The sequence below is a fragment of the Homo sapiens genome, chromosome 6 (genome assembly GCF_000001405.40).
Source record: "Homo sapiens chromosome 6, GRCh38.p14 Primary Assembly".
Classification (NCBI taxonomy): Eukaryota; Metazoa; Chordata; class Mammalia; order Primates; family Hominidae; genus Homo; species Homo sapiens.
Genome location: NC_000006.12, coordinates 137,718,014 through 137,740,701, shown reverse-complemented (window position 1 = coordinate 137,740,701; position 22,688 = coordinate 137,718,014). Strand labels below are relative to the sequence as shown.

At 42.4% G+C, this 22,688-nt stretch overlaps 1 long non-coding RNA gene across 2 annotated transcripts, besides 1 other annotated feature; it reads left to right on the top strand.

The window, feature by feature from the left end:
• Positions 1-1,664: 1,664 nt before the first annotated feature.
• On the top strand, positions 1,665-10,532 carry LINC02539 (long intergenic non-protein coding RNA 2539). Of its 2 annotated transcripts, NR_121618.1 has the most exons (3): positions 1,665-1,993; positions 9,457-9,490; positions 10,105-10,532. It is a non-coding gene; the product is annotated as a long intergenic non-protein coding RNA 2539 (long non-coding RNA). The 2 variants fall into 2 exon arrangements; NR_121619.1 differs by lacking the exon at positions 9,457-9,490.
• Positions 21,675-21,881: a silencer, noted in NCBI's record as "fragment chr6:138039958-138040164 (GRCh37/hg19 assembly coordinates)". NCBI's record gives its function as "represses an EF-1alpha promoter that drives an FKBP-Casp9 reporter gene in an ReSE screen in K562 erythroleukemia cells {active_cell/tissue: K562}" and the evidence as "EXISTENCE:reporter gene assay evidence [ECO:0000049][PMID:32094911]".

The following is a 22,688-nucleotide window of genomic DNA, read 5'->3' as shown; positions in this document are numbered from 1 at the left end:
CGTGGTTCCCAGAGCTGTCATAACAAATGACCGCAAACTGGGTGGCTTAAAACAACAGACATTTATTCTTTCATAGTTCTAGAGGCCAGAAGTCTGAAATCAAGATGTAGGAGGGTTGGTTCCTTCTGGACATTTTGAAAGAGTCTGTTCTATGCCTTTGTTCTAGCCTCTGGGAGTTGCTTCTGGGAATTGCTGGCAATCTTTGGTTTTCCTTGGATTGTAGAGGCCGCTCTCCAGTCTCTGCCTTTGTCTTCACCAGCTGTTTTCCATGTGTGTCTCTGTCTCTGTGTGTCTTCTCTTCTTATAAGGACACTGGTTGTATTTTATTAAAGGCTCATCCTACTCCAAGATGACCTCATCTTAACTAGTTGCATCTGCAATAACTCTATTTTCAAATAAGATAACATTCTGAGATCCTGGAAAGAACATGAATTCTCGGGGACATTCCCCAACCCGGTAAAGAGGGAAGCATAAAACCATGAGGTGTTATTGTTTGGGGATAGAGAATAATGAGGAAAAGAGAGGAAGAGTCTTGAAGGAATAGTTGAAAAGATACAGAATGCTAGTAAAGCAGGCAGGATTTAACACAAAATAGATATCCCATCGAATGGGGAACTCGAGGAGAGTTTAAAGAAGGAACTGTTTCCATGAGTGTCAGAGTTAAGTAAAAAGTCAAGCAAACTAGGGGCAGTGAAGCCTTCCCCAGTAACAGTGGCAGGGCTCCATTTTCCCCAATCCTGCTGCCCTTCCCCTTGTCAGAGCTGTACCGTCAGGGCTGCTGCCAATGGCCTGCTCCATGGTGCCTTCAGGTCCTGCCCTAGGCCCTCCCTGATGCTGGGATGCCTATGCCTATGGGACCCTGCCTGGCCTTCTGGCATGTGCAACCTGGAAATGTGGGTGAATCAGTGGGGTTGCGCTTCTCTTAAAGAATGAGGGGCGGAAGGCAACTGGTGCACATTCCTTGTCTTCCTCCCTAGCAGACTGTCTGAGGTGTATTTCATAAGATTCCACGGAAGATTCTGAGGAATGAAGCACCCATTGACAACAGCAATGGCCAACTCAGTAATTCATCCTTGTCGGCTTTGAACCTCCCTGTTGTTCACTCTTCTTGCCCCTCATTCCTCTTCTCTAAGCTGAGTTCCCAAATAGATCACCTGCACCCAAGCCTTTGTCTCAGGCTCTTCTTTGGCAGAAGGGGTAAAGGGAGTGTGGAGCTACTGGGGCAAAAGGGAGGGGGAGAGGCAGGGGACAGAGCAGGAGCAAGCTGAAGGTGAAGACAAATTGCTGTCTCTGGGGAAGAATGCAGTGACTGCCAACTCTTGGACCAGCAGGCAACAGGGAGGGGAAGCACACAGTCCAACCCAACCTCCTCTCCCACTCGCTGGCCCCTGCAAAGACATTCCATGGCTGAAGCAAACCCCAGAGAGTGAGGAAGGAATTCATTTAATAGAGGTCAGCCTCCTAGAGCACAGAGCAGGTGGGAAGGATGGAAAGGAGAGCTGGAAACAAATAGAGAAGGCCCAGCATGACTAGGTTTGTTCACATATCAGTTTTCTCTCCTACTGACCATGAGTCCTACACAATTGACGCAACATTGACGTAATTCACAAGGTCATCTTTTCAAAAGGATAAGTGCTTCTAAGACGAAGTTACTTTTCCAACTGCACAGGAAGAACTTGTCTGTTACCTAGATTCTTATATTTATTTAAAATTTTTGAGCATAATGGTCTTAGTAAGCCTGGCCATCATCTGAGTTAAACAGCCTAGTATATTAGGAAGAAACTGGACTAGAATTTGGAACAACCCTGGTGCAAATCCCAGCTCTGCTACTAACAAGTGGTGTACCGTTAAGCAAGTGCCCTAACCCTTCTGGATCTCAGTTTCTTATCCCAAAATGGGTTTAAAGTCTCAGCCATATATCACAAAATTTTTGTGAGGATTCAATGAAATACGATATTGTAGATGGTGGCTTTTAAAAAAATTACTCATTTGGGTAAGTGCCTCTGTTTTCTTATATTCATAGATATTGATGGATATTATTAATGAATTATACCGAGTTCTGAACATGAGAGGATTTCTCTTAAAGTTATGGTTGGGTAATTGCAGTATTTTATCATCACTGTCTTCTTGTGGTCAACCATATAAAATATTCTAGAGTTAATAGTAAGTAACAAATGAACAAGGTGTTTTCCAAGTGCATTCAGAGTTTAATGATCTTTAAACCTAAATTGGTGGAGATGAAGTAATTTATGCTCAGACCTTATGAGACAGTTTGTCTGATTGCTGATAGTGATGAATCACTGAGGGAAAGACCCACATTTCTGTGCTGCTGGAGGCTTTTACTTAACTCCTGCGTCAGCTGAGCAGCATACAAGCTCACTGGCAAAGTGACCTCTGCCTGGAAACCCAGCATGAAGGGACTTCTCATCTCCGGGCTTGCCCTCAGCTATTTGAAAATGTTTTATGAGACTCTATGGCCAGTATGCGTTGACGAAAGGATGTGCTCTTTCTGAGGTGCAATCCATCTTGCATCCAATAATCAGTCTGTAATATTTTGAAATAGAACATGTTTAGTTCTTTCCTTATCCTTTGTAGAAAATCTGCCCAATGCTTTTGGAGCCATGGTGTCATGTAGAGGAAATGTCTCGCTCCTGCCTTGTAAATCATTTTTCCCCTTATTTTCTTCCTCTTTCCCAAATCGGATTTTTTTTTAAGATGAGTGAAGACAATGAGAAAAAGAGAACTTAATGAAAAGGAAACCATGGATACCAGTTTATGATAATACTAGCCTTATTTTTTAAAAAGGAAAACAATGAAGTTGAGGCAAATTGGATAATAAAAAAATAAGATATATTATCTAAATAGTAATGTTTATGTGTTCTCTCCAGATTAGATAGTTAAGCCATGTATTTAATTTGTTGAGTATTTTGTGGTTATTGCTCTGTTTGTAAAAATGATTGTTGGCTTAAACTCTCATTCAGAAGAGAAACCCAGGGGACATTGTAATAAATATGTATTAGTCTTAAAATAGTGTTTAAACATTAGATCTGATAGTTCTTAGCAGGGCTCTGGTGTTATAACCAAAGGTTAAGCCACAACAGAATTAAAAATATGCCTTACATAAGAAATTTTTTCTCAGGGGCTTATATTTTGAATCTGTTTTCAATGAGCAGAGAAGGGAGATACTGAGAAATGCATTTTTGACTGGGAGAAGTGAAGGAGACACATGGAAGGAGACAGGAGATTATTTTCTTTAAAAAAATAAATCACAAAAAAAACCCCATTAGTAATCTGAGATTGGGCACTATGAGTACCATTGCTTTTGAGACTCTGCCAATAGAAATTTTTCTAAACTAGTTTTTTAAGTGACAAAAATTATATATATTTATCATGTGCAACATGTTTTGAAATATGCATACATTGTGGAATGACTAAATCGAGCTAATTAACACATGCATTACCTCACGTGTGTGTGTGGAGAGAACACTTAGAATCTACTCTCCTAATTTTCAATAACACAACCTATTGTTATTGACTATAGTCATCAGTTGCACAATAGGTCTCTTGAACATTTCTCCTATCTAACTGAAATTTTGTATCCTCTGACCAACATCTCTTTGTAAAAATTCAACAGGAATTTTTGGTCAGAGGTCCTTGGGAAATCGACCAGGCTCCTCCCTGTTCCACATTTCTCTTTAATAGTAAGTGCTGCCTGCCATAGAATCGTTGAAGCCCTTCCTCCTCCTAGAATTGGAAAGCCATTCTGGAGAAAGAGTCAGGATCTAAAGAAGAACTTGGTCTTGCTCAAGGCGGTGCAGAGTGGGAAACTGAGTTATATCTTAGTCTCGCTGCCTCTCTTGCCTCATCCTTGTCCTAGCCCTGAGAGGTAACTAGTGTTGTTGGAGAGCTCTGAGATTTAGGCAAAACAGCGATTCGATTTGGACATCTCCCAGGCCCATGCGTGGCTGGGAGCTCACACTGGCTCAGGGGCGGCAGCAACTCCAGTAAAGAGAAAGTACTAGTTCTATGCCTCAACCTCAACTGTGCAAAGTGACAGTTTACCCCTATGACTAACATGCTCTTAAAACACCCAAAATGCACCTGCAACTGATTAGATCTCCCAGAGTTAGCCCAGGCTGATCCACCTGCCTGCTCAAGCAGCTGAGAATTTGTTTTCAAAACTGTGTGGTTTGACTCTCTCTCAAGAGGCTTACAGATGGCTGGCTTGCTTTTCAAATAGATTTTCTGTGGTCCATTCTCTCTAATTCTGACCATCTATCCCCACTCTCCAGGTCCTGAGATCCACCCTTCTGTTCTGTTTGGTGATCAGGCAATGACTCCTGACCTTTTGCTCCTTGATCAGAATGCCCAGATACTAGATCACAGCTGGGCTGTGTCTTCTGCATCAAAGGAAATGAGATTGTTCTTATAAAGATTTTAGAACCTAGGTGTCTTGACTGCTTGGATTTGGCATATTTAGATAAGGCTGTTTCCCATCCTCCCCAGGCATGGCTCCTTCCTCTCCACGCCCCAAAGCACCTCGATTATTTACTGCTTTCTCTGGCCATATCCACAGTGCAGGGTTTACACATTTTGTCCTCATGAGATTATGGACTCCATGAGTCCAGGGACAGTATCTTATTAGGCATTGGCCTCTGCAGCACTTAATCCAGCGCCTGGGACTTCAGAAGAAATTCGTAAGTGAATGAATGAGTGAATATTGAACGTGTAACTATCAAAGGGAATTCACGGGAACTTTTGTTTCTCATTGGACTGGAAAGGATTCTTCTTAGTGCTCAAGCATCTCTTTTGTTGGCCATTGAAACTGCATTAGGAAGACATTGTATTAACTGAGGCATAGCCAGAGGAACAGATCCAGAGAAGAGACATTGCCATGAGTCAAACCTAGGTACTTTTTTAGACAACAAAGGGTAACACCAGAGTTAGTAGTAAGGTAGACTAGACAGACTACCTTATTACAAAAGCATAAAATGAAGACATAATTGTTAGTTGTGAGCATGTTGCTTTAGAATATAAGTGAAAATGTTGGCAAATTGTATTTATATTGGATAAGATCCTCAGACTATTTTCCCAAATATATTGTCACATTTTCATGACTCAATATAGCATATCCGTGGGGTTGACTCAGGAGTATCATGATGTGGTAGAAAGATTCTTACCTCAATATGTACCTCCACCACTATCTTGTGGGTGGTTTTTGAATGAAGCATTTAAGTGCTCTGGGCTTAATTTTTGTTATAGAAAACAAATAGAATAGGTGAAGTGGTGCCTCGGCCTTTCAAAGTGCTGAGATTACAGGTGCAAGCCACTGCGCCGGGCCAAAATATTAATATTAGTTAGAAATTAATTAGATACTGTATATCACAATGATGTTCTCATCACGATTTGCTGAAAAACAGTTTGTAAGGGCTGATAGGAGGGGACTACTTCTCTCTCCAGCCGTGAGAACCCCAGAAGCCTTTATTTACAACCCTGGAGGGAAAAGTGATAAACCCATCACAAGGAGGAAGTAGGGAAGAGAGCTGGAGGGGGAAAGCAGTCATTCATATTTGATTTCTTCCACGTAATTGTTCCTCTACCATGACCCATAGAGCCAGGAGGAAGTGTGGAGGAGACAGAGATGAGTTACCAATGTATTTGAACAAACTGAAATGCACAGTTCCCTGTCCTTTCTGTCTCCCGTTATTACCCCAGTGTTCCCAATTGTGCAACAGCGTGACCTTACATCAGACAGAAAAAAGAGGGAGTTTGGCAATAACGTGAGAAAAGCTTCTGATGCAAACATAATTCCTTTTGCTTTACAGAAACATATAAATTATGTACAAAAATTATTTATGCTCTAACTTGAGCATTCAGTTCCATTGATACACAGTATATGCTACCAACGTCTGCTAAAAAATAAGATTTTGCAGGCTTTCTAAGCTTGTTTAATAATGAGGAAGATGGTAAGGCTTGGCTTTTCCCTGTAAGAATGCTGAAACAGGTTCGGATAAAAAACAAACCAACACAAATCAAACAACTTTCTCTTTCCTCTGTGTTTCTCCTCTTCCACAGCTTTGGATTCTTCCAGAATACTTGTTACCTCAGATTAGGGTGGGATGCCTTTGAGATAGCCCCACACGGGGTAAACTAAGCTTTTGATGGTTTTATATAGCAGGCCCTGGGCTAGCTGTTTGCATGCATGATCTCATGATTGCCATGCAAATATTTATATGCGATGAAGTCTCCTTGATTGGAGCCATACTCTTATCTTCTTGTCCATCTCTCCCTAATTATGATGTGTCATGGGAATTTTGCAACTAATTCAGAATTTTTTTCAGAGGGAACCTGGGTTCTGCATATGCTCTTTGTGGATAAATTCTCCCTGAAATTCCAGAAAGTCCAAAATTGAATTGCCTGGTATATGGTTGCCTTGGCATATGATCTGTGAACAAACTGGTTTTATCTGGTGTGTTGTTTAGAGTGTCAATGAGGTTGTATAGTAGGTAGCAGATGTAGGAAGAAGGCAATTTGATGAATGGCAGCTATAAAATGAAACAAGGAAGGAACATCACTAAATTTGTGTTCAACTTACTTCTGCCATTTGAGGGGCCCTAGGTTGGAAGTGACAACAAACTGATAGGGTCAAGGAAATGGATTGCTAAGTTTAGAAGTGTCGGCCGGGCACAGTGGCTCATGCCTGTAATCCAAGCACTTTGGGAGGCCAAGGCGGGCGGATCATGAGGTCAGGAGATCGAGACCATCCTGGCTAACACGGTGAAACCCCGTCTCTACTAAAAATACAAAAAATTAGCCGGGCGAGGTGATGGGCGCCTGTAGTCCCAGCTACTCGGGAGGCTGAGGCAGGAGAATGGCGTGATCCTGGGAGGCAGAGTTTCCAGTGAGCCGAGATCGTGCCACTGCACTCCAGCCTCGGTGACAGAGCAAGACTCCATCTCAAAAAAAAAAAAAAAAGTGTCAAGGTTGACTAGAGTTCTTTCTGAATAAAAAAAGCTTTACCACACCATCAGCATTGACTGAAAGTGGAAAAGAGACAGAATTGGACAAGTGCCCAGAGAAAAATGGATTTTGTACATACTTTACAAGCTAATATAGACCATTCCTTGCAAAACCCCTCCTTTGAGAAGAATCACACATGCTCCTCCATCCCCCTGATTTGATTTATTTGTATTGTCTTAACAATTTCTCTTTCTTTCTTCCTTTCTTGCTCGCTCATTTGCTTGCTTGCTTGCTTTCTTCCCTTCTTTTTCTTCTTTTTCTTTCTTTTCTTTTCTTTTTTTTTTTTTTTTTTTTTTTGACTGGGTCTCACTCACTCTGTCGCCCAGGCTGGAGTGCAGTGGTGTGATCTCAGCTCACTGCAACTTCCGCTTCCTGGGTTCAAGCAATTCTCTTGCCTCAGCCTCCAGAGTAGCTGGGACTACAGGCACGTAACACCAAGCCTGGCTAATTTTTGTAGTTTTAGTAGAGACAGGGTTTCACCATCTTGGCCAGGCTGGTCTCGAACTCCTGACCTCAGGTGATCTGCCGGCCTTGGCCTCCCAAAGTGCTGGGATTACAGGTGTGAACCACCGTGCCCAGCCTTGTTTAACAATTTCATGATGCATGTTATTTCTTATTACAATGTGTTCCCCGCCCCTTTATTTCTCTTGCGGAGTCCAATATGAAGAATTGAAAAGAAATGTGATATCTCAACTTTTCATTAAGTCTCAATCCTAATGCCCTGTTTTTTGTTTGTTTGTTTGTTTGTTTAAAGCTATGAAAACAAAAAGTACCAAGTCTGTGCCAGGTTCTTTTTCATTTTGTTTTGTGTCTGTGTGTGTGTGTGTATGTGTGTGTGTGTGTGTGTCATAATAATGAGTGACTTCATATGAGCTTCCAGATTCACTGGTTCTGGCAGAAAGATATTTGTACAGCTGTTTCACAAGCTCTCTCCTGATTAGCCGAGGTAGGGCATCCAATCTACAGTTGTGGAAAAACAACATTAGCTGAAATAGACATAACACCTACAATTTTTTTTAGTGTTGTTGCTTTCCCCAAATGCTTGTTCAGCTCTTAGTTATCTTTCAAAACTGCTCAGGCGTTGCCTTCTCAAGGAGCCTTCTTTAGCCACACTTCTTACTCCCTCTCCTCCCCTAATGCCTCATTTTTCTTGTACTATTTCTAGACTTTGCATATTTCTACATTGAAACCGTCCTCTGCATTCTGTTTGTCTACCTCTCCTACCAGTATGTGAATATCTAGAGAGAATAGATGTGATTTTGCTGGTAGCCCTCCACCTAACAATGAATGGCAAAGAGTAGAAGCCAAATAAGTGGACTTTTACTGGACCTGACTGCAGTCATTTTTATAGAGTGTACCGGCAGCTCCAGAAGCATACTGTCCTCTTGATGCAGGATATCTGCCATTGATGTTTTATTTGTTTTCTGACTCAGAAAGTTTCTTCAAAGCCAGTTCCGATCTATTATGAAATATCCTTTTTGTGAGCCACTTCCCATTCCATCCCTTAACACAGATATACACATGGCCCAGGCAGAGTGTTTCTTTGTGGGTTCTAGGCAGTGATGGGAAATGAAAATACTACATTGCATGAATTCTAAAACAAAAATTTTTTTCTACTGCTTCTTGAATTGAAATTAGGGAGTATTTCACAATCAATGACATCTTATAATTATGATTAGCAGTGTTTTTTTTTTCTTTTTGAACAGTACCTGAAATAATGTGTCTTATCATTGATGGTATCTTAAGTACTCATAAAAGAAATCTTACTGGTAGCCAGCGCAGCCCTGCCAGGTTATATGTAAATTCGGGATATGTTCCAAGTGCTACATTAAAAATAAACCAAAACAGAAACAGACTTTGTAAAATAGAGTGAAAGAGTGAGCCTTGAAGGATCAGAGGGCAAGTTTCACATGCTATTCATTGTTCTGTCCCTGGCATCTGATCTACTATGCACATGGCACATATTTGTCACTTAAAACACAAAAATAATTGCTAACAGTCTTTGAGTCCTTACTATGCAGAGGTCACTGTGTTTTAAGTATTTTTCATATGTGAGCTCATTTAATTCTCAGGACAACTCTTTGAGTGGGTTCAGTTATGATTCCATTTTTCAGATGCATAAAGTCCAGATGAGGGTAGATAGATGACTTGCTCTGAGTCCCACAGGTAGCAAGTAAATGGCAGAGCCGTGCTGGATCCCAGGGCCATTTGACTTTAAAGACAACGTTCCTATGTTCTGTGCAGCACTTTCTCCCTAATGAATATTTATTTTAAATAAGTGTTATTTCTACTGATTTTGATGGCTATTTGCTTGGGTCCCCCACCCCCAGTTTCCATTAGTCATTAAATGCTTATCTGAGATTAATATTTAGATAAATATTGCTAATTTTTAATAAACAGTTCATTGGAAAATATTTTCTTTATTTAATGTTACAGGCGAAATCCTATCAAAAATAAAACTCCTAGCCAGGTACGGTGGCCCATGCCCGTAATCCCAGCATTTTGGGAGGCCAAAGCGGGAGGAGTGCTTGACTGCAAGAGTTCAAGACCAGCCTGGGAAACATAGCGAGACTCTGTCTCTACAAAAAAATAAAAAATTAGCCAGGTTTGGTTGCACACACCTGTAGTCCCAGCTACTTGAGAGGCTGAGGCAGGAGGAGTGCTTAAGCCCAGGAGGTTGAGGTTGCAATGAGCCCTGACCACACCATTGCACTCCAACCTGTGTGTCAGAGCGAGATCCTGTCTCAAAACAAAACAAAACCAAACAAAAAACTCTTTAAAAAGCCATTTGTGATTATGATGGTGTTGTATTTCATAGAAGAGATGTTGTTGAGATAAATTTTTTTATAAGTAGGAAAAAATGCAATCCCTATTTTGGAGAATTGTCACCCTTGCGTTCCCTGTGAGAAAATAAATGAAGTTCAATGGGCTTTATTAACCTCCTCTATTAGGGCTGAGATGTCTTTTTTTTCTCAACACCAAAAACCTCAGGCATAATCTTAAGAAGTCACTGATGAAATTGCACTTCAGATACAAAAGATTCTGTTAGACCAGTTCACTTTTTTCTCTTTTCATTCATTGCAGAGGGTCAGAACTAGAGGTGGTGGAGTGAACGCCGCACCAGGCAATGGAAGAAGCACTGGCCTAGACCAAGCTTGAGCGTGCACCACTGTCACCTGGAGGGCTTGTTCCAACACGGATGGCTGGACTCACCCCCAGAATTTCAGATTTATTAGGTCTGCACTGGGCCCTGAGAATGTTTATTTAAAACAAATTCCTGGATGCTACTGGTTCAGTTGCCACACTCTGAGACCCGCTGGCTTTGAGCTTAGAAGATGTGGGTTTGATTCCTGGATTCCACAGTTTACTAGCTGTGAGTTAGAGAATTTAAATTACTTACCTGAGTCTTGGTTTCTTATTTGCAAACTGAACTGTAAACTATTTGTTCTACCCATTTTATAAGACTTTTGTAAGGATAAAATAAAAGAATACATATGCAAATTACTGAAAAACCTGTCACTGTTGTTATTACTAGTATTATTGTGAAAGAAGCTGTAGATTTATGTCAGCCCCAGACAGGAGTTGACAGAACCTTCGAGTTGCACAAGGCCTGCTGGAGCACTTCAGAGAATTCCAAATGAATCTTGATTGCATTGTGGAATGTACAGCACTGGGGCCCTGGGGACCAGCATGGAATGTGAGTAAAGACAAGATAGGTTCTATCATCCTCCAGACCTGCAGATGTGTGTTCAAATCCTGACTCCATGGGGCTTGACTCTATCCCATCTGGAAAAATGGAAATAAAAGTGCCTACCTTACTGGTTTATTGTGAGGACTATTTGAGATAATGTATTTAAAGAACTAGCACAGTGCACGGCACATAGTGGGCACTCACTAAATATTAGCTCTTAATATAGTTATGAAAACTAAACCCAATGGGGAGAAAATGCAAGGCCATCTTGGTAATACAACTGTATGTATTATGAGGTAGCCAGGTCTCTCAGCCCAAAAGACCATATTCCAGGGCCAGGCATGGTGGCTCACGCCTGTAATCCCAGCACTTTGGGAGGCTGAGCTGGGTGGATGACTTCAGGCCAGGAGTTCGAGACTAGCCTGGCCAAAATGGCAAAACCCCCATCTTTACTAAAAATGCAAAAATTAGCTGGGTATGGTGGCACACACCTGTGGTCCCAGCTACTCAGGAGGCTGAGGCATGATAATTACTGGAACCTGGGAGGTGAAGGTTGCAGTAAGCTGAGATTTTGCCACTGCACTCTAGCCTGGGTGACAGAGCAAGAAAAAAAAAAAAAGACCATATTCCAGTGCTGCTGCTCTGAGAGAGCAGGAGCAGTTAGACTCACTGACCTCCCACGTTGCTTCCAAATGAGATTTTAATGTCAGCACAAAGCAAACGCATCTAGTCAGTTGCCAGCAACCAGGGCTGTTTTCCCCAGACTTCCCTTATGACTGACAGCTACACCATTCATTTCTTTGCTATGACCTACCTTGTAATTATGAAGCAACACTTTCTGGAATTCCCTAGCAGGCAGAGCACTAACAATAGAAAAATTGAAATTAAATGGAGATCAGTCCACAGAGCTCTTCATTTTCCCTTGGATTATGTGACAGTGGAATCAAGCCTAAACTAGACAATGCATGACAACACAATGAGCTCTGCACTAACAAACGCCAGATAAGCTCCAGCAGTCTGCTTTCGGTGGGTGGAAGTTCCAGGCTTGCAAAACCCTGTAGATAATAGAAGCAACAACTGGAGCACAATTGCTGACCCAGTTGCCAAATCTGATGCCATGTCATGGGGCTGGAATGCAGCTCAGTGCCATGCTGGACAGACTTTTCTCTTATACTACATGCTGATCAGAAGTTATTCACCCGGGCTGCATGTCTTCTTGCACATTACATGAACTAACACTTTGCCCGTTCATCTTGACAGCACAAGAGATACAGATGGGCAGGGTGTCCTTAAACATGCCTGCCTGTTCCTGTGATAGTTAAGTGATTGACTCAACAAAAATGGAAGAGAATTTGCTCAACTTTGATCCTTCTCTCTTCACTGGGTTTATGCAGGCTAGGTGGGTCACAGGACAGGTGAGGAAATGTGAGGGTGAGGCATTTCAATGTTATCTGATAGCACCAGTTGCCTCTCTTGACATTCCTTGCTAGCAAATATGAAAAATGCAATACCCTATATGAATATGCCTAATATGTCATTTTCCCCTAAGAAGGGAGAAGTGAGACTCTAACTATTATTATTAATTTTTCCAATGGAAATCCTCACTATGATTGCAGGATAATGCATCATCCATTTTGTAGACAACTTATTTTTTCTGATTTGATGTAAACTTTTGACTTTCTGCCCTTCTCTGCCCAGTTACTTCTAATTCTGAAGACTTTTTTCTCACATTCTTTCATGGTTTCAGTCTCTGCGGCCCTGACATCCTTTCCATATAATTCACCGCCAGATTTCCTGGTGACTTCCAGATTCGTAATCTTCTGGTGTCTTCCATTTGGATGAGCTCTGTCTCAGCCACTCCCCAGGAGGCCACACCTTATGCTTGGTCACAACTCAGATCGACTCCACTTTCAGGACGGCACATTCGGAAATCCCTTCCTTTTCTGGCTCCCTCCTTCCCTCTTTCTGCTTTGCATTTCATCTTAACTGAGACCTCTACTGCATGACTTTTATCTGGTCACCTACTCCGCCAATGCATTTGGTTTCATTCTTCTGCATCAGTCTGAACTCATTGGTCCATCATTCAGTTCAGGATCACCTACAATCCTCTTCTGTGATCTCTCTCAAATCTGTCTTTCCTTCCATTCCTGCAGGTGCTCTCTAAGACACTTGCAAGGATCTCCCACCCAGTCTCCTTATCTTCCAATCTGCTCTACTCTAATCTATATTAGTTACCCCTTCTAGGAGGATCATCCTGCTTTTAAAATGCCAATAAAGCTTTTCCAACTCTTATCCTCCAAACCCCTTCTACTTCTCCCTCCAAGTCTCGCTCCAGCTCTTTCCTCTCCTTTGAAATGCTCTTTCTCATCTCTGCCTGAAAAATACCATCTGTTCTTTCTAAAGACCATTTCCAATAGCATCTCCAGATTCCTCAAACTTTACTTGACCCCTTCTTGGTGTTATATGTCCATGCTAGCTATAGTGGTTTATATATTTGTTTTATCTTCTCTGCAGTGTGATCAGTGGAAGGTTCATGAGCTCTGGATTTAGAGAGAGATCTGGTTTAAGTTATCAGTATTTACCAGTTGTGTGATCTCAGGCAAGTCACTCCATTTCGCAAAGACTAAATTTCCCCATCTGTATAAAGGGATGATGCTATCTATCTCATGGGATTGTTAGGATTAAATGAGATAAAATAACCGCCATATGAAAGCCACTCAATAAATATCACTTCTTCTCTTTTTCCCCATTCCGTGCATCCTTGAGGTATGAGATTATTTCTACTCATTTTGTTTCCTTGGAAGGGCAGCATTGTTTGGCGCCTAGTAGGCTATTAATAAATAATTACTGTATTCATGTATTCATATCATGTGTCTTTGCTTTCCTGTTAAAAGTTAGAGCTCCCGAGACAATGTATTTTTCATTTGCAGTTCATTTCCTATTTAATTTTGGCAAGTTTAAAGAAGAATATTCTTTATATATTGAGCAGATAGTTAACAGGTAAACCTAGTGCCAACAATTCTGTCTTGTCTATTGAGAAAGACTAGCGGCTATGTGGTCTGTGTCTGGCTTGGAGTTAAGGAGAAGATTTTTTAGTGTGTGTGACAAAAACTCAGTCATAATAGTGATATTTGGGAAGCTCCCTTTTCATCTTATTGAATCAATATGACCCAATAAGATTGTGGCCAATCATGGTCCTCTCCCAGCTTCATAGCCAATAGGAAATGAGCTGGGAGCACTGATTCACATCCTTGTGTGTATGTGTGTGGTGGGGCTTGGTGGGGGGGAAAATGATTCCTGTTACAAAATCTAGTGATACTACAGTATTCCTGGCTAAAGAAGTGCTTCTTTTAGGAAAAGCTAAGCTTCAAGCTAAATATGTTTGTTTAAAGTATCATGATGTACAGCAAAGATTATTGAACTTGGAGTAGTGCAGAGGCTTGGACTCAAATCTCAGCTCCACTACACTATCAGCAGTGGAACCTCATGCATGTTACTTGGACCTCTTTCACTTGTAAAAGGCAAGAACAATACCCACATCACAGATTGTTGTAGGGATGGAAGCCATGCTTATGAATGCACCCTGTAGAGTGCATGGCATTTACAGAGAAAGCAGTTCACAAATGTTAGCTTTGGAATGCCAAAGTGTATAGAGAACTTCTCATAAAAGAAAGATCTAGTTTACTTTGCAGAAATGCAATAGCAGGCATTGTGTTATCATCATCTGTGTGACAGTTTTTGTGTGTCAACTTGGCTAGGCTATGGTGCTCAGATGTTAGGCCAATAGCAGTCTAGAAATGGCTGTGAAGGTATTTTTTAGATATGACTAATAGTTCAATCAGCAGACTAAGCAAAGCAGATTAGTCTCCATAATGATGGTGGGTTTCAGCTAATCAGTTGAAGGCCTTAAAAAGAAAAAAAGAAAAAAATCTGAGGTCCCCTAAGGAGGGGGGACCTCTGCCTCCGGTCTGTCTTCAGACTAGAACTGCAACATCAGTTCTTCTCTGAGTCTCTAGCCTGCTGATCTCCGCAAATTTTGACTTGCCTTCCCCCAAAATTGCACAAGAAAATTCCTTAAAATAAATCCCTATCTACCTATCAATCTGTCTATCCTGTTGGCTCTGTTTCTCTAGAGAACCCTAACTAATACAGCCCGTCTTGCTCACTGGGTGGTAATCGAATGTCAGGAACTGTATCTAACTCATCTTCACATCTCCAGTACCTAGCACAGTGCCAAATCTATAACAAATATTTATGCTTATTGAACTGCAGAGAATAGCAGCTCACATTCAGACACTATCTTATAAAAATGGTACTTGCACAGAAGGTTTAATTAATTCATCCCTCTACCTAGTTATTCATCCATCAAACATTTTGAGGGGAGCTTATTCCATATGACTGTGCTTGACACTGGTGATGCAGAGAGAAAAGACAGAATGCATTCTCACTATTTCATGGTGGCGTGAGGAGACAGTGCGAGTGAATGGGGCAGACGCAGGAAAGGAGGGTGAAGTGAGACACTGGGAATCTGTTTATCCAGGTGAGACAACAGGACAGCCTGACATAAGGGGGGACAATTGGGAAGAAGAGGAAGGGATGGGTTTAGGAGGTAGAAATAATAGGAGGGGAGAAACAAGGAGTGAGGCATCTCCCATGACTGCCTGGTTTCTGGTTAAGGTGTCTGGGAACACAGAGGAGGAACAGAGTTTCTCATCATCTTATCTGATCCTAACATTCCTCAGCATCGTACAACACAACCCCCTCATTTTAGGGATATGGATACAGAAGCTGAGAGAGAGCAGGTCTTTTGCCACCACCCTCATAAGTCAGGAGCTGGCAGAGTGAGTTTTAGAAGCCAAACGCGTGCTGTTTTGCTGAGTGTCCACTGTGGCCCACACAGCGGTGCCTGCCAAGTTCCTTGCACAATGGAAGGAAGGGAAATGAGCTCAAAGAGTCCCTGTTACTTCTGTGTGGTGCGGTTTCACTCTCGTGAGCTGTCGCATCGCTGACCAGCCTGCCATGCTCTCTGAGTGTCAACTGGGACCTGACCCAGCACCGGACTCATTCCATTTGGAAGATGGGTGTAATACCAGGCCTCAGTCCCCCATCTCTACTCCAGCCATGTTCAGCTGTGAGTTTACCATCATAACTTCCTGAATCTCAAGGGACAGCAATCAGATCCTTGCCAGATGGCTAGGCAATGGGATGCAATTTTTACATGAAATCACTGTAGACACTGTGACCAATGGAACTACCATTTTCATGGAGACCAGCTGAGCCCTGCTAACTGAAAATTCAGAGCATCTCCAGCCATTGTATCCAGTTGATGAAGTTGATGCTCTCCAACCATACCACATTATTTTGAATCCAAATTCATAGTTTACTTTCCAGTGTCATCCTGAGGATTGGAGGAAGGCACAGGAAATATCAGCGATTATCCTCCATTATCAGATTATTATATTTTTTTGTGTTAACATTTCTAGCGGTAAAATAGCTTGGAGAGGTTTAAACCATCTCTTAACCCACATTCTTTTGTAATTCTTTTTCAATTTAAAATCGATGATATCAATGGACTTCAATATTCTACTATTTAATCCCTTGTATAGATCTGCAATCTTTCAGCTGTTTATTTCACCCTGAGTTTCCAGTTTGGGCAAATAAAGAGTTGCCACCATGCACAGGTGACTCACCATGCACATGGGACTTCCACTATGATAGAAGGTCATGGTGTGCCTGATGGATTAGGCAAAGCTCCCCCACATTCACCTCCAGGACTTTCCTCTTTCCCTTGGGCACGTGCTTGCCATCTGCTGGGCTATGTGTTCCATGAGGTTAGAGGCTGTGGCTGCCATGTCCACCACTCTGTTTCTAGCACTGAATCAGGGCCTGGCACCCAGAAACTACAGAATAAATATTTATTGAGTGAATGCCTAGAGACTAATCATCAGCGACGTAATCATGTTATTTGTCCTTTTCTACAACAAATGTTTCTCAAAGGTCAGAAATGAGAAGATGAAACCAGGACCAACGTGGATTAAATAGAGGTATGACATAATTTCCTATTGTCTCCGTCCATCTGCAGTCAAGGTTATATTCACATCTCAGATCTTCATCAGAATGGCTTTCCCTCTTCTCTTAAAAGAAAACAGAAGAGTTCTGTGCAGTTAAGAGGTTGAATGAAAAAAGGGAGGGAGGGTTCAGAAGGAAAAGTCCAAACATCCTCTTCCCCATGGAAATAATGATAATAGGAATAATGAGAAGGCTAAATTATTTGCTTACTATGTGGCACTGCACTTTATTATTTAATTAATCCTCATGGCAAGCCTATGAGGTAGATAATATCATGCCCAGTTGTGGGGGAAAAAAAGGGGGGAATTTAGAAGAATGTAAATAACTTGCCCAAGCTGGTAGGTAGAGAAGCCGGAATTCCACCCCAGGTCTGTCTGAGTCCAGAGTTTAACCACCAACCCTTAGCTGGTTTGAATATTTAAGGGCAGGGTCCAAGTCTCATTCATCTTTGTTTAACTCATAGCACCTGGCCTAAGGTCACACCTGCCACGTGGAAACAGCAAATATTAGTTGATTCAAAAGTAGAGCTAGTCAAAGGCCCTGGGATAGGGTTACTTTACTGGAAAACAGGGCATGCATGAAAGGAAATGTAAAAGCCAACCAAGAAAAAGCAGAGTGGCATAAGTGGTCTTATATCACACCAAAGACAGAGGTTAACCTTAAATGTGTTTGGAATTCATAGCATGAAGTTAAAAAAGTATTTTGAAGCGGCTACACTGTAAGAATGATAAATCATGGGAAACAGCTGGAAGGATCCTGAAGTTCTTTCTTCTGACTTGTTCTTTTTCCAAGGACTGTAGATTCCTTAGCTTAGGCCAGCTGGGGTGAGTTCTTGTTGGTGTGTGAGTATATGGTTTTCACATGTAAAGCAAATTTAAGACTCGGTTATGATAGATTTGTGCTGTGTTTGTGCCCCAATCTTCAGGCCACATTTCTACTGTGCTGTCTTAGCCAGCTTCTCGTGGGCAGGGCTGTCAAGTCAACTCCCAGACTTGGTGGGTTGTCCGCTCTATCAGCCTCCTTCAGAATGTTCGTGGTGGCACCTCTAGATCCTTCTCAGAATGCTGTCTCATTTATTTCCTGACAGTTAAAGAAAACTTAAGAAAGTGAAAGCTTACATGAGAAAATGAGTAAGCACTTTTAAAACAGAACTATTAAGCTCACTTTCAATGTTGCTAAAGTTCGCCCTTTTTAGACACCTTTAAATCCCTAGTGCCCAGACAAATCAAATGCCTAATAGGGCTTGCTTCCAGTGCGGTCTACAAGGACACTTTAAAAAAGGTTGTCCAGGCCGGGCGTGGTGGCTCACGCCTGTAATCCCAGCACTTTGGGAGGCCGAGGCGGGCGGATCACGAGGTCAGGAGATCGAGACCATCTCGGCTAAAACGGTGAAACCCCGTCTGTACTAAAAATACAAAAAATTAGCCGGGCGTAGTGGCGGGCGCCTGTAGTCCCAGCTACTTGGGAGGCTGAGGCAGGAGAATGGCGTGAACCCGGGAGGCGGAGCTTACAGTGAGCCGAGATCCCGCCACTGCACTCCAGCCTGGGCGACAGAGCGAGACTCCGTCTCAAAAAAAAAAAAAAAAAAAGAAAAAAAAAAAGGTTGTCCAGATAGAAATAAGCCGCCCCCTCTTCCATGCCCTTTATGTCAAGGGAATCACTGGAAGGCCCACTGCCCCAGGGGACAAAGGTCTTCTGAGTCAGAAGCCACTAACCAGATGATCCAGCAGCAGGACTGAGGGTTCCCCGGGGCAAACGCCAGCCCATCACCCTCACAGTGTCCCAGATATGCTTGACCATTGAGGGCCAGGAGGTTAACTGTCTCCTGGACGCTGGCACAGCCTTCTCAGTCTTACTCTCCTATCCCAGACAACTGTCCTCCAGATCTGTCACTATCTGAGGGGTCCTAGGACAGGCAGTCACTAGATACTTCTCCCAGCCACTAAGTTGTGACTGGGGAACTTTACTCTTTTCACATGCTTTTCTAATTATGCCTGAAAGCCCCACTCCCTTGTTAGGGAGAGACATTCTAGCAAAAGCAGGGGCCATTATACCCCTGAACATAGGAGAAGGAACACACATTTGCTGTCCCCTGCTTGAGGAAGGAATTAATCCTGAAGTCTGGGCAACAGAAGGACAATATGGACGAGCAAAGAATGCCCATCCTGTTCAAGTTAAACTAAAGGATTCCGCCTCCTTTCCCTAACAAAAGCAGTACCCCCTTAGACCCGAGCCCCAACAATGACTCCAAAAGATTTTTAAGGACCTAAAAGCCCAAGGCCTAGTAAAAGCATGCAATAGCCCCTGCAATACTCCAAATTTAGGAGTACAGAAACCCATCAGACAGTGGAGGTTAGTGCAAGATCTCAGGATTATCAGTGAGGCCGTTGTCACTCCATACCCAGCTGTACCTAACCCTTATACTCTGCTTTCCCAAATACCAGAGGAAATAGAGTGGTTTACAGTCCTGGACTTTAAGGCTGCCTTTTTCTGCATCGCTGTGCATCCTGACTCTCAGTTCTTGTTTGCCTTTGAAGATCCTTCAAATCCAATGTCTCAACTCACCTGGACTGTTTTACCCCAAGGGTTCAAGGATAGCCCCCATCTATTTGGCCAGGCATTAGCCCAAGACTTGAGCCAATTCTCATACCTGGACACTCTTGTCCTTCAGTACGTGGATAATTTACTTCTAGCTGCCCGTTCAGAAATCTTGTGCCATCAAGCCACCCAAGCGCTTTTAAACTTCCTTGCCACTTGTGGCTATAAGGTTTCCAAACCAAAGGCTCAGCTCTGCTTACAGCAGGTTAAATACTTATGGCTAAAATTATCCAAAGGCACCAGGGCCCTCAGTGAGGAATGTATCCAGACTATACTGGCTTATCCTCATTCCAAAACCCTAAAAGCAATTACGAGGGTTCCTTGGCATAACAGGCTTCTGCCAAATATGGATTCCCAGGTACGGCAAAATAGCCAGGCCATTATATACACTAATTAAGGAAACTCAGAAAGCCAATACCCATTTAGTAAGATGGATACCTGAAGCAAAAGCAGCTTTCCAGGCCCTGACAAAGGCCCTAACCCAAGCCCCAGTGTTAAGTTTGCCAACGGGGCAAGACTTTTCTTTATATGTCACAGAAAAAACAGGAATAGCTCTAAGAGTCCTTACACAGGTCCAAGGGACCAGCTTGCAACCCGTGGCATACCTGAGTAAGGAAATTGATGTAGTGGCAAAATGTTGGCCTCATTGTTTACGGGTAGTGGCAGCAGTAGCAGTCTTAGTTTCTGAAGTAGTTAAAACGATACAGGGAAGAGATCTTACTGTGTGGACATCTCATGATGTGAACGGCATACTCACTGCTAAAGGAGACTTGTGGCTGTCAGACAACCGTTCGCTTAAATATCAGGCTCTATTAATTGAAGGGCCAGTGCTGTGACTGCACACTTGTGCAACTCTTAACCCAGCCACATTTCTTCCAGACAATGAAGAAAAGATAGAACATAACTGTCAATAGGTGATTGCTCAAACCTACACTTCTCAAAATGACCTTCTAGAGGTTCCCTTGACTGATTCTGACCTCAACTTGTATACTGATGGAAGTTCCTTTGTAGAAAAAGGACTTCAAAAAGCGGGGTATGCAGTGCTCAGTGATAATGGAGTACTTGAAAGTAATCCCCTCACTCCAGGAGCTAGTGCTCAGCTGGCAGAACTAATAGCCCTCACTCGGGCACTAGAATTAGGAGAAGGAAAAAGGGTAAATATATATATAGACTCTAAGTATGCTTACCTAGTCCTCCATGCCCACGCAGCAATATGGAGAGAAAGGAAATTCCTAACTTCCAAGAGAACACCTATCAAACATCAGGAAGCCATTAGGAGATTATTATTGGCTGTACAGAAACCTAAAGAGGTGGCAGTCTTACACTGCTGGGGGCATCAGAAAGGAAAGGAAAGGGAAATAGAAGTGAACCGCCAAGTGGATATTGAAACCAAAAGAGCCACAAGGCAGGACCCTCCATTAGAAATGCTTATAGAATGACCCCTAGTATGGAGTAATCCCCCCTGGGAAACCAAGCCCCAGTACTCAGAAAAAGAAATAGAATGCGGAACCTCACGAGGACATAGTTTCCTCTCCTCAGGATGGCTAACCACTGAAGAAGGAAAAATATTTTACTTGCAGCTAACCAATGGAAATTACTTAAAACCCTTCACCAAACCTTTCACTTAGGCATTGATAGCACCCATCAGATGGCCAAATTATTATTTACTGGACCAGGCCTTTTCAAAACTGTCAAGAAAAGAAATAATCTGCCAAAGAAATAATTTTTCAAAACTGCCAAAGAAATAATCCCCTGCACTGCAGGCCATACATTTCAATCCCTGTGTCTTTAACCCCTTTGTTAAGTTTGTCTCTTCCAGAATCAAAGCTGTAAAACTACAAATCATTCTTCAAATGGAGCCCCAGATGCAGTCCATGACTAAGATCTACCATGGACCCCTGGACCGGCCTGCTAGCCCATGCTCCGAAGTTGATGACATCGAAGGCACCCCTCCCAAGGAAATTTCAACTGCACGACCCTTACTATGCCCCAATTCAGCAGGAAGCAGTTAGAGCTGTCGTCAGCCAACCTCCGCAAGAGCACTTGGGTTTTCCTGTTGAGAGGGGCTACTAAGAGACAGGACTAGCTGGATTTCCTAGGCCAACTAAGAATCCCTAAGCCTAGCTGGGAAGTTGACCACATCCACCTTTAAACACGAGGCTTGCAACTTAGCTTACACACAACCAATCAGGTAGTAAAGAGAGCTCACTAAAATGCTAACTAGGCAAAAACAGGAAGTAAAGAAATAGCCAATCATCTATTGCCTGAGAGCACAGGGGGAGGGACAATGATCGGGATATAAACCCAGGCATCGGAGCCGGCAATGGCTGTCCCCTTTGGGTCCCCTCCCTTTGTATGGGAGCTCTGTTTTTACTCTATTAAATCTTGCAATTGCAAAAAAAAAAAAAAATCCCTAGTGCCCAGAACTATATATTTACTATATATTTATTGCTTGAATGCATGTGTGAATGAATCTCCACTAACTATTTCTTTAGAGTATCCTATGTGTAACATGTCATGGTGATAAATTCATCCCCACTCATCAGAATAAGAGAAGTTGGCTAAAATCCTAGTATGTAGGGATGGGGATAGGTAATGAAGAACCTGACATTCATTCTTACATGTAATTACATGGGTCTCAAGGGAAGGGTGCAATGACTTTTGAAAAAAATTCAATATTCATAACTTCCTGATAAAAGGTGTGTTAGGTAGTATTTACTTCAGGGAAGAATTTATAGTCCTCCAAATACACCTGGATAACCTCACCTCAGACTAAATAGATCCCAAACCACTACATTTGCCCAAAGACTTTCTTGTTTCCCACGTCTTCATTTTTCTGTTAATTGTGACTCCATTCCCTACTCACTAGGCTTTAAACACAGCTGTCAGACACAATCACTCTTTGTTTGAATTCATTTAGTTACCAAGACCTACTGATTTTTTTTTTAACAGTCTCTGTCTTGTCACCCATTCCTTCCTTTCCATTCTTAGAGCCCAATTTTCTAGATCAGGGCTTGTATTCTCAGTCTCTAATACTTCATGTGTAGGTCCAACTTGTCTCCTTGCATACATTTTTCCCTCCAGCAGCTGTTATGAACTGAATTATGTCCCCACACACCCCAGATTCAGATGTTTAAGCCCTAACCCCATGTGACTGTGTTAGGAGACCGAGCATTTTTGGAGGTAATTGTGGTTCCATGAGATTATAAGGATGGGGCCCTAATTTGATAGGACTGGTGTCCTTATAGGAAGAGGATGAGACACTACTCTTTCTCTCTGCTCATACACAGAGAAAAGGCGGCCATCTACA